Source organism: Homo sapiens, chromosome 4 (genome assembly GCF_000001405.40).
Source record: "Homo sapiens chromosome 4, GRCh38.p14 Primary Assembly".
Classification (NCBI taxonomy): Eukaryota; Metazoa; Chordata; class Mammalia; order Primates; family Hominidae; genus Homo; species Homo sapiens.
Genome location: NC_000004.12, coordinates 89,283,348 through 89,297,479, shown reverse-complemented (window position 1 = coordinate 89,297,479; position 14,132 = coordinate 89,283,348). Strand labels below are relative to the sequence as shown.

The 14,132-nt window shown below is 38.6% G+C and overlaps 1 protein-coding gene across 8 annotated transcripts in view; it reads left to right on the top strand.

Moving 5' to 3' along the window:
* GPRIN3 (GPRIN family member 3) overlaps nucleotides 1-14,132 on the top strand; it is a 71,418-nt gene that overhangs the window by 10,321 nt on the left and 46,965 nt on the right. For 3 of the 8 annotated variants that reach the window (XM_047450091.1, XM_047450090.1, XM_047450089.1), the window contains exon 2: nucleotides 3,669-4,508. The exons of the other annotated variants lie outside the window; for them this stretch is intronic. The gene's annotated coding sequence lies outside the window, so the exon portion shown is untranslated. The remainder of the gene's footprint in view (nucleotides 1-3,668; nucleotides 4,509-14,132) is intronic. 8 annotated transcript variants of the gene reach the window in all.

Here is a 14,132-nt window from a genome sequence, read left to right as displayed (position 1 = left end):
AAAAGAATGAAAGACCAACTAAACACATGCGGGAAGAGGGTTTAAAATTCATTAAAGAATGAACAAGAAACAAAACAAAACAAAACAAAACAAAAAAACACTTGAGGCACTTTGCCATCTTGATTCTAGAGCATAAGAGAACCCTAATACATGTCTCCATATATATCCATCTACTTTCCAAAGGAAATGAGTGAAGGCTAGATTACAGATATGTATAAATCCTTAAAAATTTTATTCTTCAGGCTTATCTGCCAGTGACGTCTTGCTAAAACCACTTCTCCTTTAAAGAAATCTCTGAGGTTTGTACTACTAAATAATAACACATTAATAATTCCCCATTCTAGAGATGAGGAAATAGATAGCATAACTTGCCCAAAGTCCCACAGATGGTAATGGAGCTGTGTGAATTCAGTTGTTCAATGTCAAAGGCCATGAGCTTCACCACTATGCTACACTGCAGGACTCTGTTGGTGATGCAAATCACAGTGGGTCAAAATGTAAGGACTCAGTACGATTTTATGGACTTCTGTCTTCTATCTTGGATTTCATCTTGTGTTGCTTAAAAAGCAAATGTGAAAGCTTCTAAATGAGCAATAAGACATTTAAAAAAACACAGGGTGAGTTCAAGGACAGATATTTTAGGTTAAAATTTTATAGATCATTGCATAGGTGATAACATTGGCAAACATAAATTTTATCAAAATACCAGGTAACACATATGTTCAGCAAATAACATTTCTTTGTTTCTCAAAAGAAAAACCAAATGTGTTTCTTATGTCACATGTGTGTGCACACCCACACACATACATATGCACACACACACACACAAACAAGAAAAAACAAACATGTGTCTTTATTTAACTGCCTATGGACTTTGGACCTAGAAACTATTTATAGAACTAGTGTTTCCGTGATTGATGTTTTAATCATAGACATTCATTTACTTATGAAAGTTAAGCAATTCCTTATTACAGCTTACAGCTAAGTGTTCTCATTGCAAATGGAATACTAAGAAAAAAAAAGGTAATCCATGCACAGGAGGCCTATTTCAGACAAATTCCTTCTTAAAACTGTAGTTCTAATGAATTAATGGTACTCGGTAGGAGGATGAATATACCTGTCTGTCCATTTGGAAGGTGAAAATCCAATAACTGAAAAAAGCCGTGATTTCTGCCTTATTTTTTTAGTTCCTTAATTAGCAATTGATTTTTTTTTCTAGTAAAAGAAAATGGACAGAAATCACCTAGAGGCATTAGTCTTATTACTGGACCCTTTTTATCACTCTGGAATGTCTTTACCACCTCATGTCATTTCAGAATTCAAACTCTTTGTTCCCGGAGGTAACACAGTAGAGAGCACTGCTTTTCAGACTGCAGATTTCCAGCAGTGACCTGTGAGAGGATCTTACGTAGTATACAGATTTGCTTTGGATTTTAATACTTATAAATTTATTTAAATGTAGAAATATGTTCAGAACACATTTCAAAGTATATTTTTAAAAATATATGCTACAAAAAATAATATAACAAGTACATCAAACCTGTAATTTCACAGATGTTATTTTTTAGGGCAAGGCTAATGTTTTCAACCAGTGCACCAGTTAAAGTCAATTTAATGAAAAATATTGAGTTAAAAAAAATGGTTTAGATAGGAAGCACATGAGGCTAAAATCATGAAATGGGTACACAAATGTCACAGTCCCTGAAAGTGGAACATGAAGGCATGTCATTGCCCACAGCACCTCAGGTCCTCTCTAGAAATGAGAGGGCTGGTCCAGAAATCCCTAAGAGCAATTCTAGCTCTGATGCCCCACCACTTGTTTTTTTTTAAATCTTGCTTGTTTTCTTCTTCATTCACAGGCTTATTTTCTGAATTTTAGGCCCATTCTGCCTTTGTTGGAACCCAAACGGGCCCTTGTTATCTCCCCCTCTTCATCATCACCAAGCATGTATGCCTTCATTCATTTACGCATGTAGTCATTTAGCCCTACGCCCTATGGAGAGCTTATGGACTAGGTAATGTGGGCATGCAAGAAAGCTACAGAGTTCTAGACCTCTGACTTCTGTGTAAAATGAATATATTTGTCTGTGTTTCACATTGAAGTTAAAGCCCTTGAATGAAAGGCCTGGACTTCTGCCATCATCTTGTCTTTGTAGATCTTGGACAAATAAGAGATATTCAATGGAAGACCCCTTCATTGATAAAATGCATTATCAAGGCTCACGTTACAAATTTAAAATGTGTGTTGCTGTAAATATAAGTGCATAATGTGTGAGAATGGAAAAAAGGGGGGTCTACATTTCCTAGCTAGAAATGTCTAATTCTTGGGTCGTTTTGAATACAAAGGGAAAAAATTAGTACTTTCGTGTTTTGGAGTAGTCGTTAATACATCTTTGGTCTGTTAGAAATCTTTATAAGTCTGAGTCATATGAGGAATTTTAACACTTGTCAGTTTTTTGAGCTTTTTGTAAACATCAGCTACATTGAGAGGTGCACCAAGTTTCAATAGTGCTTATTGCTTTTTCATATAATTAAACTCCAAACACATGGTTAAAGTATATGATTATTTTTCCTTGGGAATTTGTCCTTGAGAAACTTTGTTAAGATGTTTTAAAGCACTTGAGTGTGGTGAGTATAAATTGTCACAAACGTTTATGTGATGTCAATGGAGCTGTTTTATGCTTGCCAGTAATTCATAAGATTTTGCTATAGTGGTGAAAAGGATATAGCAGTGGTTTCCTGCTGGAGTTTCTATATAACAGTGAGAAAAGCATCAGAGGATGTAGTTGGTTGTGGTTGTTTGCTCATACCCTGCTGCTCTTTTCTTTTTTGTAAAAAACAGGAAGCTGAAATGTGTTCTTTACTTAGTTCAATTGATGTTTAATAAGGACTTATCTGTGTGCCAGTATGGGAGGATGTAAAAATGAGAAGATGCATCCCTGCCTTTAAAGACCATAAAATCTTCAGAAATTATGTAAAACATTAGGAATTTAAGTAAAAAGGTCGAAGTGCTTCATGGCAGTATTTATTTATTCTCAATGCACATACAGTATGATAAAAATTGATTAACTGAAATTGGTTTCAATTTTCTTTCTTAGAGGAGTTGGGTCTCATTTTGTCACCCAGGCTGGTCTTAAACTCCTGGGCTCAGCTGATTCTCCCACCTTTGCCTCCCAAAGTGCTGAGATTACAAATGTGAGCCACCATGCCCAGCCTGTTTTCAAAATTTTAATGTTTAGATTTCATCATGAGTGACATAACTTTCCAAGTGTCACATTAAAACAAATTTCGAAGAAGCAGCTAATTCACTCAAGTAGTCTTTAACTCATTATTATGCCGAAGTTCAAATTAATTGTTAGTTTTTCTGTATTCTCTGGTTATGGAGCAGACTCCCAATTCCTCGGCTTACCAGTTTTGAGAGGAATTGTGTAAAAGAGCATATTCCAAGTCCCTATCCCCAAAACAAGGGAGAATAAAATAACATACTTAGGCTCAGTACATTAGTACTATTTCTTTTGACAATATCATAAATTTTAAAAAAGAAAGGCATGCACTAAAGAATATTTGTAACCAAGTACATATTCTGAATAGAAAAGATTTAATGGAATCCCTATCACTTAGAAAAGCAGAACCACTATGGTAATATGGAATAATGGATTTATTTTCAGTTTTAGACCTTGAACAATTGTGGGAGCTTTGCAGTCGCTTTCACGTCACATCTGGTATGGAGCTAAAGTCATCATAGGTTAGCAGAGCTGGCAACTGGGAAGAAAACCTAGATTTGAAGTAGAGCTGAGCAAGGGAGAACCTGCAGGAGAAAATGAAACCCATAAAGATAAACTGGAACTTGTATTTGACTCATACTTCTCCAGCCTCAATGACCCTGACTTGAACAGCCCGAAAGGGACTGGCACTCTTCACTGCAAAGCCATTCGTGCACCTGGCCCAGAAACCAAAAGAGGAGATCTGTGGGGAGCCAAATGTCCGGCAGCCTGGCTGCTGCCTGCCATGGACAAGGTGATCTGGGAGGTCAGTGAGCTGCACTTGTTGACTACACTGACCTTCAGAGCAGAATGCTGCTGTTTCACTTTTACCTTCCAAAGGTCACACAAATTTCCTTTGTAGCCAACTGGAATGAAGAACGATTTAGGAAAGGGAATTCTGGGAATGAGTTTCCATCAGATCTAAGACAGTGGTACAAAACCACCATAGAGGATGCTAGCCCATAAAAGGAGAAATGTTTGCAGTCATTTCTGCAGGAAGTCCCTTGCTTTTAAGTTCTCCAAGAAACCTTCCAGCTGAAGGATAACTAATCCATGCTGCTCATGAACTATGTTTAAGAAGTTTTCTTATATAGACTTCTATAGACTTATGCAAATTTTCTTCTATACACAACTAGAACTTGTTGGTTTAATTCCATTCAAAAACTGAAGTTTCAGAAGAAGTAGATATTAATGTAAAGAAATTCCAAGATTCATGTCATTTACCACTGAACTCATCTCTCCAAGGTATGCATCATCCTACAATATAAAAGTTAATGAGATTAACTCCCATGTGGCTGGTTGATGTAGTGACAAACTTATTTTCTGCCACAATAGATTCTAATCTCTATTTTTAGATTTCTGTAGGTGCTACAGAAGGTTTATATAATATAATGTTACAGAAAAATGAAAGTTCAGTTAAGAAGTTGCCTCCCCCATGTTTCTTTTATTTATTGTTTTGTTTTGAGTCTCTTGCTTGTAAGCATGTGTAATTGGTGCTGTATGAAGTGGTGAGTTTACCAATGGTGGAAGCCAGATGCTATAACCATCAATAAATGGCTATAGCATTTAAATGGAGGTTGGCCTCTGTGTCTTCTGAGAACCTTTCCATTTTCAAGATTCTTTGAGTCTTTATCAGTGACCCTCAACCTCTTTTTTGCCCCAACTCACTTGACAAATAGTATGTACAGATCAGGTCCCCTCTGTAATTCCAATTTCTTCTCTCTGACCTAAAAAACACATTGAAATATATGTGATCTAATTTGTGAAGTTAATTAATTAATAATTCTTAATTTCTTACTTAAGTACCAGTAATAACAATCTTGTCTTTTGTATAAGCACAAGAAATTTATTACACAAATATTTCACAATCCCAAATATATTTTCCAATTTAGCCCTTGGTAAAGCAAGAAAACAGAAATCTGTTTTTTCAGACATATACATGAAAATGGAAAAATTCATGAAAAGGGAAGAAAGTATATAGTTTTATTAAAATTCTTTTGGTGTTCCACAATTGACAAAATTAGCCAATACTAGATTAGCCTTTGGATGTATTAATTATGTCACTGTATGTGTTAATCTAATAATCTAATCTGATCACATAGAAGCATTTATTTAAGTAGCATGTGTTATTTGCAAATCCCTGCACTTGGGATGGGGTGGCAGAGCTTCATGTACACAAAGATGACTAAGAGTTTTTCCTTACCCACAAAGAAACCTTTAGTCTAGTGGGAGAGCTAATACAAAGAACCAAATGAAGGGAAAGGAGGAAAAACTGAATGTGGGCTGAGTATCAAAATAGAAATATTTTGGTTCTAAAAAGATGAAATGTTAAAATTCCATCCCACACTATATACTAAGAACAGTAGAGAAAAAAAAAAAAAAAAAAGCCCTGACAGTACCAAGTGTTGGTAAGGATATGAAGCAACTGGAACGCTACTATGTTACTAGTGAGAATACAAAATATAGTAGAGACACCATGGAAAATATTTTGGCAGTTTCTTATAAAGTTAAATGTTCACTTACCATATGACCACTCCTATTTAGCTAAGTGATGAGAAAACCTATGATAACATAAAAACTTATTTATAGTGGCTTTATTCATAATCTCCAAAAATGGGAAATAACTCAAATGTCCCTCAACTAGTAAAGGAATAAACAAACAGTGGCACATTCATGCAGTGAAACAATGTCCAGAAATAAAAAGGAACAAAGTATTGATATGCACAACAACAGGGATGAACGTCAAGTACATTATGCTAATTAAAGAAGCCAGACTGAAACAGCTAGGTGCTTTTATATTTATGTGACATTCTGGAGAACACAAAACTATGCAGGTGGAGAAAGAGGTCTGCATTAAAGGTGAGGAGAGTTTGACTACAAAGTGTCATGAAGGGAAATTTCTTGGTGGGGAGCAGTGGAAATTATTCTGTCTTGATTGTGGTGGTGGTTACACAGAAGCATTTATCGAAACTCAGACCTGTACACCAAAAAAAAGTAAATATAACTGTATGTGACTTGTGTTAATTCTTAAAGAAAAAATTCAGTCCCAAATCATGGTCAGGAATATAGCGTCCTCCTAGTTCTGAGGTCAGAAAAGCAGGCTATGGAGGAGATGTTAATCCTGCTCTCTGTTTATTGACACAGAAAAATGTGCTCTCTGAACAGATTTGCACTCTGATATCCAGAAATCTTGGGTTGGTTTCTGTCTCAAACGTCTCTTTAAATGGATGGAGGCAAGTATCATGGGACCCTGGATGTCAGCTGACAGTTCTGTTGCCTAAAATAATGTTATGTTCACCATCTGGTGAGCGTGTGTGGGAGTAGTGAGTGCTCACTGTGTCCTCTGCTGTTTGTGTGTGAATGGGGCATGCGGCAGTCTCTCCCCAACCTCATACTCACAGAAGCTGAGAGAAATTATTTATTCCAATATTGTTTATTGAGGTCTTATTAAATGAGAAATCCTGCACTACATGCTGTGAGGACTAAATAGGGAGCTTCTTAGAGTCCCTATCAAAAATGGAGCTTATAGCATGAGAGATAAGACATATGCCTCAATAACTGTAATTAAATCAGATTATGGTAAATCCTATAATCGACGTTTCCTCACTGTACTATGGCTGTTGAGAAGAGAAAGTCCTCACTTCCTGCTGAGGGTATCAGGAACGGGTTATTTTGTGGAGAGTATGGCATTTGTCCTGAAACTTAATGCTTCCAGCGAATCCTAAGCCCTTTGAGAAATGGATCCTTCCTGCCTTATTCACCCACTTTTTTCCATACCTAGCCCAGTCCCTGATACACTATTGCTCCATCAATGCTTTGGTGTTAATTAATGAATAAAAGAAAGAACAGTCAGCATTTTCAAAGGCAGAGAAGACAGTCCAGGGGACATGGCCTGAGCAGAGGAATGCAGGCAAATGCTTCAAGCATATTTGAAACACTAAGAGTAGGGCCAGGTGCAGTGGCTCACTCCTGTAATCCCAGCACTTTGGGAGGCCTACGCAAGAGGATGGGTTGAGCCTCAGGAGTTTGAGGCCAGCCTGCAACATGGCAAAACTCTGTCTCTACAAAAAATACAGAAATTAGCCGGGCATGGTGACACGCACCTGTAGTCCAGGTCTCTCACTCTGTCGCCCAGGCTGGAGTCTAATGTGCACCACTGCCCTCCAGCCTGGGTGACAGAGTGAGTCCCTGTCTCAAAAACAAAACAAAACAAAAACACTGAGAATAGTTCAGCTTGGCTGTAGTATGGGAGGATATGGGAAGCAATGTTTCAAAATGGTGTTGGAAACAAACTGGAGAGTGCCAGGTTAAGTGATTTGAACATTTTTCAGTCTAAGAAGTTACTGACAGACTTTTGAGCTCAGAGTGATGTGATCAGATCTGTGTTTTAAAAAAGATGTCATTTAACAATGATTATTAGACAGTCACTATTAGTGATTACATAAGCTGCATTGGAGGAGTGGAAAAACTGTGTCTGAGGCAGCTGTGCCTCATGCATGAAGGTACAGGCAGTTGTTGGACTATTACACCTGGAAAACAGGAATCAGAAGACCTGGGATCAAGTCCCCACTTTGCTTCTACACTGTGTAACAAAACTCATACGTTTCTGAAACCTCAGTTTTTGTATCTGTGAGGTTAGTATGGAAATTATAAGAAATAGTATCTGTGGGAGCTTGCTTTATTTTAAAGAGCTATATGAGTGTAACAGTTATTGTCATTTGAGTCTCGGCTCTTGGAAAGATAGTTGCAAATGTTTCTGGAGAGATGCCACAGGAGTTGGTGACTCTATGACTCTAGGAGGTAAGGGACAAAAGCTGTCAAAATGACTTCAGGTTTTGACTTGGAGAACATTGGTGCCATTAACAGAATTAGTGATGTCAAGAGGGAAAGTTTGTTTTGGCAGAATTATGTTGAATCTAGTGGTGGATATTATTTGGGACCCTGGCAGAATATGCAGGTCAGATATCTGGCCCGCACTTATTATGTAATAGAAGACGACCAGGCACATGAGGAAAGGGAGATGCCTGGCTTGAAAGCAATTAAGGTCAGTACCATTAGATACCCTAAGATCATACGAGATTATCAAGGACAGGAAAGAAGAGGCCTGAAGGAGAGAATTTTCAGTAAAACCAACATTTCGGGTCAAAGAACGAATTAGTTTGATCTAAGGCTACAAAGGGATGATCTGAAAGTGGAAAGAAAAGTCGACATAGGAAAATGTCAGAGAGGTAACCAGTGGTGAAAACGATGCCGTGAGTGCAAGGTAGATGAAGAATAAAATTCTGTTTCTTGATCTTAAAACTGAAAAACTAATGCCTGCCTGTGGGCTTGTTGTGGAGAGTAAATAAGCGACAGTGCTGAGTGCCATCTCTTATACACAGGAGGAGCTATTATTCGTACTGTTATTGAAATTTATTCTCATTTTTAACGTTACCCAGATCTTGTGAGGGTTATATGTGATGGTTCCTTTTTAAGATAAATCATAGGCTAAATTTGCTGCATAATAATATCTCCTGACCTTTAAAGGGTAAAATGTAGTTCAGCCCCAGTTTTAGAAGAACTGCATACTGTTCTGACAAGAGCATATTGTTTTTCTGAAACTCTCATGAGAGTGCCCTGCATGGAAAAACAAATTCCCCTCATCTGGGCCAAAGTTGAATCCTATCAAGGTACACAGAATAAGAACAACTTGCTCATCAGCTGCCTGCTGCCCTCATGTAGAATATATTAAACCTGAATTTCACTCCAGAAGTTTGCATTTATGCAAACTTAGTTGACCCAGAAAATCATTTGTGAAAAGGAAAAAGTTGAAGAGAATATTGGTTTAATATATACCCTTTCAACAATTTCTTATAAATGAGTGACCAAGACAGCATAGAACAACCATCAAATCTATTTGTGTCATACTGATTATATTTTATTCTTGATCTAGAAAGCCAAGCAAGAGCTAGTTGGCTCTGCAAAGAAAAAAACAAAAAACCTTTCTTTGGGATCACATGTCTTTTCTCAAATCGGCCACCTTAAAAATGCATGCAGTTAAGAAGTCACAGAGAGAAAACAGACACGGCTCAGGGACATCTGCCACTGCTCTGGGAAAAACTATCCAATGCCAGGAGCAAGATTCTGTGATCTGCACGGGCCCTCGAGGCACCGAAATTAGACAGTACATTATTCCATGTGTTCAAATGATCAGTCAAAAATCATGAGCGCTCCCAAGAAAATTGATGAAAAGAATTTTTTTGGTCATTATGTGATACAAGTTTGCTGGCCTGACACTGAAACTAGTGCAAATTTTCTTCCATATTTGCAGGGGTCAGTAAAAATCAAGATTATCATGGCATCAGCCTATCAGTCTTTCTTAACTTTAGGATTTATTATGATTTTCCTAATATTCAATAACACTTCTAAACACTCCCAACATTTCTCTCTTCTCTTTCATTCCACATTTTATTTAGTGGAGTCATTCATGTTTTACTCATTTCAGGGTTAGAACTTTGAAATAGTTTCTGGAATTAAATCCATTTTCTTAACCTGGCATTGAAGTCTATTCATAATAGGCTTGTGTCTAGAACTGAATTTCCCAATGAGTATCCCAAGCCCCAGCCCATTATCTCCCCATCCCAGCTCTTCCTGCATATACTTTCAAGTTCCAGGTAACAGTGTACCACAGGGACCACAGTAAGTCTGTACCTCCCTGCCTTTAAATCTTTCCTTAGCCTCTTCCCTCTGCCCAAAGGCTCAGCTTTTAAAACCCAACTCGAATATTTATCCTGTGCTAGGAAATAGGACACAGTTCAATTTGGTCAGTTTCATTGTATTAACCACAGGTTGTAACATATACAACCCCAAAATTTCAGTAGCTTAAGGAAATAAAATTATATGCATTTTTTAAAATCTCTGCCAAATACCTCCAAAACACCTTTTAAATTTATCCTAATGTTAATTAATCATTTGCTTTCTTGCTCTCTCATGGCATTTTTCTCTACATGTCTAGTACAAGAGTTATTTTTCATGGTGTATCTTCCCTGAAATATTTAGTTTTGGAGGCCAGTTTTGTATGTCTTGTATATATGTTTGTATAGCCCCCACAGAATTTAGCACAATGCCTTATACATAAGAAGCCTCAATAAATAGTTCTTGAATTCATTTGTTTTCCATTGAGTTCACTACTGAATTCCTCAAGATTCTGAGGCCAGAGTAGTTGTTTTGTTTTTAGAGACAGGGTCTTCTTATGTTACCCAGAGTGAAGTGCAGTGGCTATTCACAGGCATGATCATAGCTCACTATAGCCTCAAACTCCTGGGCTCAAGTGATCCTCCTGCCACATCCTCCCAAGTACCTGGGAATACAGGCACATACCACTGGGTCCAGCTGGAGTAGTAGAATTCAAAAATAATTTGCTTTCTAAGTACTTTGGGAGTACTACCTTCTAAATCCTTGTAAGATTAATAGTTATTTCTTTTTGTGTGTTGTTTTAAGTGTCTTGGTGTCTTCAATGTAATGGGAGAAAGAAAATATCTTCCCTATCAGTAATTGGTGACTTTTCTTTTTTGAGAGTCTTGTTTTCTCAAAGGAAAAAGACAAAATTAATGTATAAAAGGATATGTACGTAAGAAACAAAAAAAATTGAATTGGGAGTCACATTCTAAAAAACACAAAGAAAAAAGGCAAGAGAACTATAAAACTTTTAAAAGTAAGCTTTCTGAATATGATGAGGTAGATTCTCTGACAAAAAGAAATACCAGCTGTGATAAAGACACAGTGTAGGAAAGCACCAGCGAAAGACAAACTTGGCTGAAAGGGAAATACCAAAGCTTTTCCCAAGCAGGTCCCAGACAAAGAACAAGCAAAAGATTTTGCAGACCATCATTATACCATAGTTGTAATGAACACCATCCACCTGATACCATCTGTACAACTTTAATAAGACCATCAGCAAAAACCAGAGTTTAGTTGAAACTTTCTCATGTTTTGCAAGTTGGTGCTCCTCCTAACTTTTGCCTCCTTTCACTACCATTGTTAAAACAGTCAGAGAATATCACAACTCCTCAAGCATTATTTTTCTTAATTTTTATTAACAAATTAATGTCATCTTAGTTTACATATATATATATATATATATATACACACACACATACACGTACACATGTAATTGAGCAACCTCTGCAAGAAGGAAAATGTCTAAAAGTTAAAGAAAAGGATATGTTCTGCAAAAGAAAAAGTGAGAGAGCTGACAGTCTTTGCAACTGAGGAAGTCAAGCTAGAAAATGATTAATCCAAATGAAGAACTAGTATACGGCTTCTCTTTCCCCTGAGGATAAATTAAGCAGTTGGAGTAGCAGAGTTAGAGATTTAGGCAAAAGAATGAGCATTCTAACAAGCTACTTATCCATAGTAATTCCCTCCCAAACACCAGTTCATAAGCCAGTTCTTCTTGGATACACTGATTTACTTTGCATGCCTTTTCCCCATCTCTGTCAGTTTCAGTTTGTTTACAGAAGAATATTTGAGGAGTAATTATGGAGAAAGGAGATAGTAAAATTTGGGAAAAGTAAAAAGAAGTGAATTGGGTGACAGAACAGGAAGTTGAGATATTTGTGATGCAGCCTGAGGTGTCCAACACATTTTCAGAATTAAAATGTCATGTTATAAAGCATGATCTTTTGGTTATTCTATGATTGTGGAGTAGATGGGGTTGTAACCACCTGGGGGTTCTTCCTGCCCACTGCACAAATAAAGACCATGGCATTGCAGTAAAGAAAAAGTTTAATTGATGCGAGGCTGGCCATGCCACATGGTAGACAAAGTTATTACTCAAATCAATCTCATAAAGGCTCATATGTTTAGGGATTTTTCTTTTTTTTTAATTATTATACTTTAAGTTCTAGGGTACATGTGCACAACATGCAGGTTTGTTACCTAGGTATACATGTGCCATGTTGGTTTGCTGCACCCATCATTTACATTAGGTATTTCTCCTAATGTTGTCCCTCCCCCGCCCCCTGACCCCCCAACCGACCCCGCCCTGTGTAGGGTAGGGATTTTTCAAAGGCAGTTTGGGGGAAGGGGTGAGAGTGGCTAGGTGCTTGCTGCTGATTGGTTGGGGTGGAGATGAAATCATAGGGAGTCAAAGCTGTCTGTCCCCTTGAGCTGAGTCACTCCTCTGTGGGGCCACAGGAGCAGTTTGGCAGGACCAAGTGGAGCCAGCAGTGTCAGACATGCAAAAGGCCTGAAAAGATATCTCAAAAGGCCAGTCTACATTGGTGATGTTATTGCAGTAGTAATTGGGGAAGTTGCATATCTTGTGACCAGCCTATTAGCAGAATTCAGGCTCCTCTCCTTCCCCTAGCCTGATGGTCTCATTCTCATTTAAACTATAATCTAAATGTCTTCCAAAGTTAGCTAGGCCTAGGCCTAAGTCCAAGAATAATTAAGGCAGCTTGAAAGCTAAAGGCAAGGAATGGGGAGTTGGGTTGGCTAGATCAGATCTCCCCCACTGCCATAATATTCTCACTGATATAATTTTTGCAAAGGCGATTTCAGGGTGAGAAAAGGGAGCTAGGGAAGGAGCAGTGGACTTGGAAGGTAGACCTGGTGGTGAGTTCCTGTTAGTAAGAAAGCCCAAGTAATTCTACTACCATAATCACTAATATTATTGCTGTTACTACTAGCTAACCTGTGTGCAAAACTCTCTTCTAAGAATGCACAACAATCCTAGAGGAAGGTGTTATTTTCATTCCTGGGTGGCAAGTGTTACAAACCTTAGGCACTGGGGAGTCAACTAATTTGCCTGAGGCCACACAGCTTGTAAGTGGCCAACCAGATGTGAACCTGAATAATCTGATCCTAGAGGCATTGTTAACCACTGTGCCTCTCACACAGTGAAATGTTTCCAGAAGGTAAGGGACAGTAATTCTGAATGGCTGGCAGTCCTCCAGCATGTGGTCTTCAGCCTCCTGTCTCTGTTCATGCCGTTCATTTGCTTTAGTGGCCTCTTCCACCCACCCATTCCTTCACCTGGCTGACTCCCCATCCTTCAGGGCATTCTGCCCAGCACACCTTTCCAGAATCCTGCTGAGGCCCTTACCTCACCAGCTTGTGGTGGGTACCCTGTGATACCATCTGTCATAGCGTTTACCTCAACACAGTTGCTTTTCTGCCTTGTCTTAAAACCTTGGATCCTTCCATTCTTTCATCCTTCGCATTCAATCAGAGGGCACAGCTGATTTGACCTCTTCAGTATTTCTAGGTCCATCCTTCCCTCAGTTCCTGCTGCCAGTGCCCTACTTCTCACAGTTTCACTTACAAAGCCCCCCGCAGTTTTACTTTGTCACACCCTTTAGCCCTATATCTTGCATCCGGAGCTGCAGCCATGCCAACTAAATATTGTTCCAGCCCCACCCCACCCTCAACCACTTCCCCAGTAGGCTGCCTGTATATCTATTCATGCTTGTCCATATGCACCTGAAATGCCCTTTCCTCCCCACTGGTGAAGTCCTGCTTAGTTTTCAAGGCAGCATTGCTGTTGCTTACACTCAGAGGCCTTGGGTGGGCCTTCTCTTAGATATGCCAGCATTGTGCACTCATAACACCCTATGCCGAGCTCTACCAAAGGGCTCACCATTATACCGTAGTCCAGTCTCCCTTTATGTTTCTGCCTCCCCCACTAGATATGAACTTCCTGAAGGTGAGGACTGGCAGATTCCACCCACCTTGTGTGTACCATGATCTGTGTGATTACTTACTATGTTCCTGGTATTTTTTTCCTTCCCTGTTTTGCAGCAGATCTCCACTGGTTCCCCGGAAGCTTTCCCTGATTGCAAAAGTTGGAATGAGTCATTCTTTTCTTGTGTTACCATTGAAATCTGT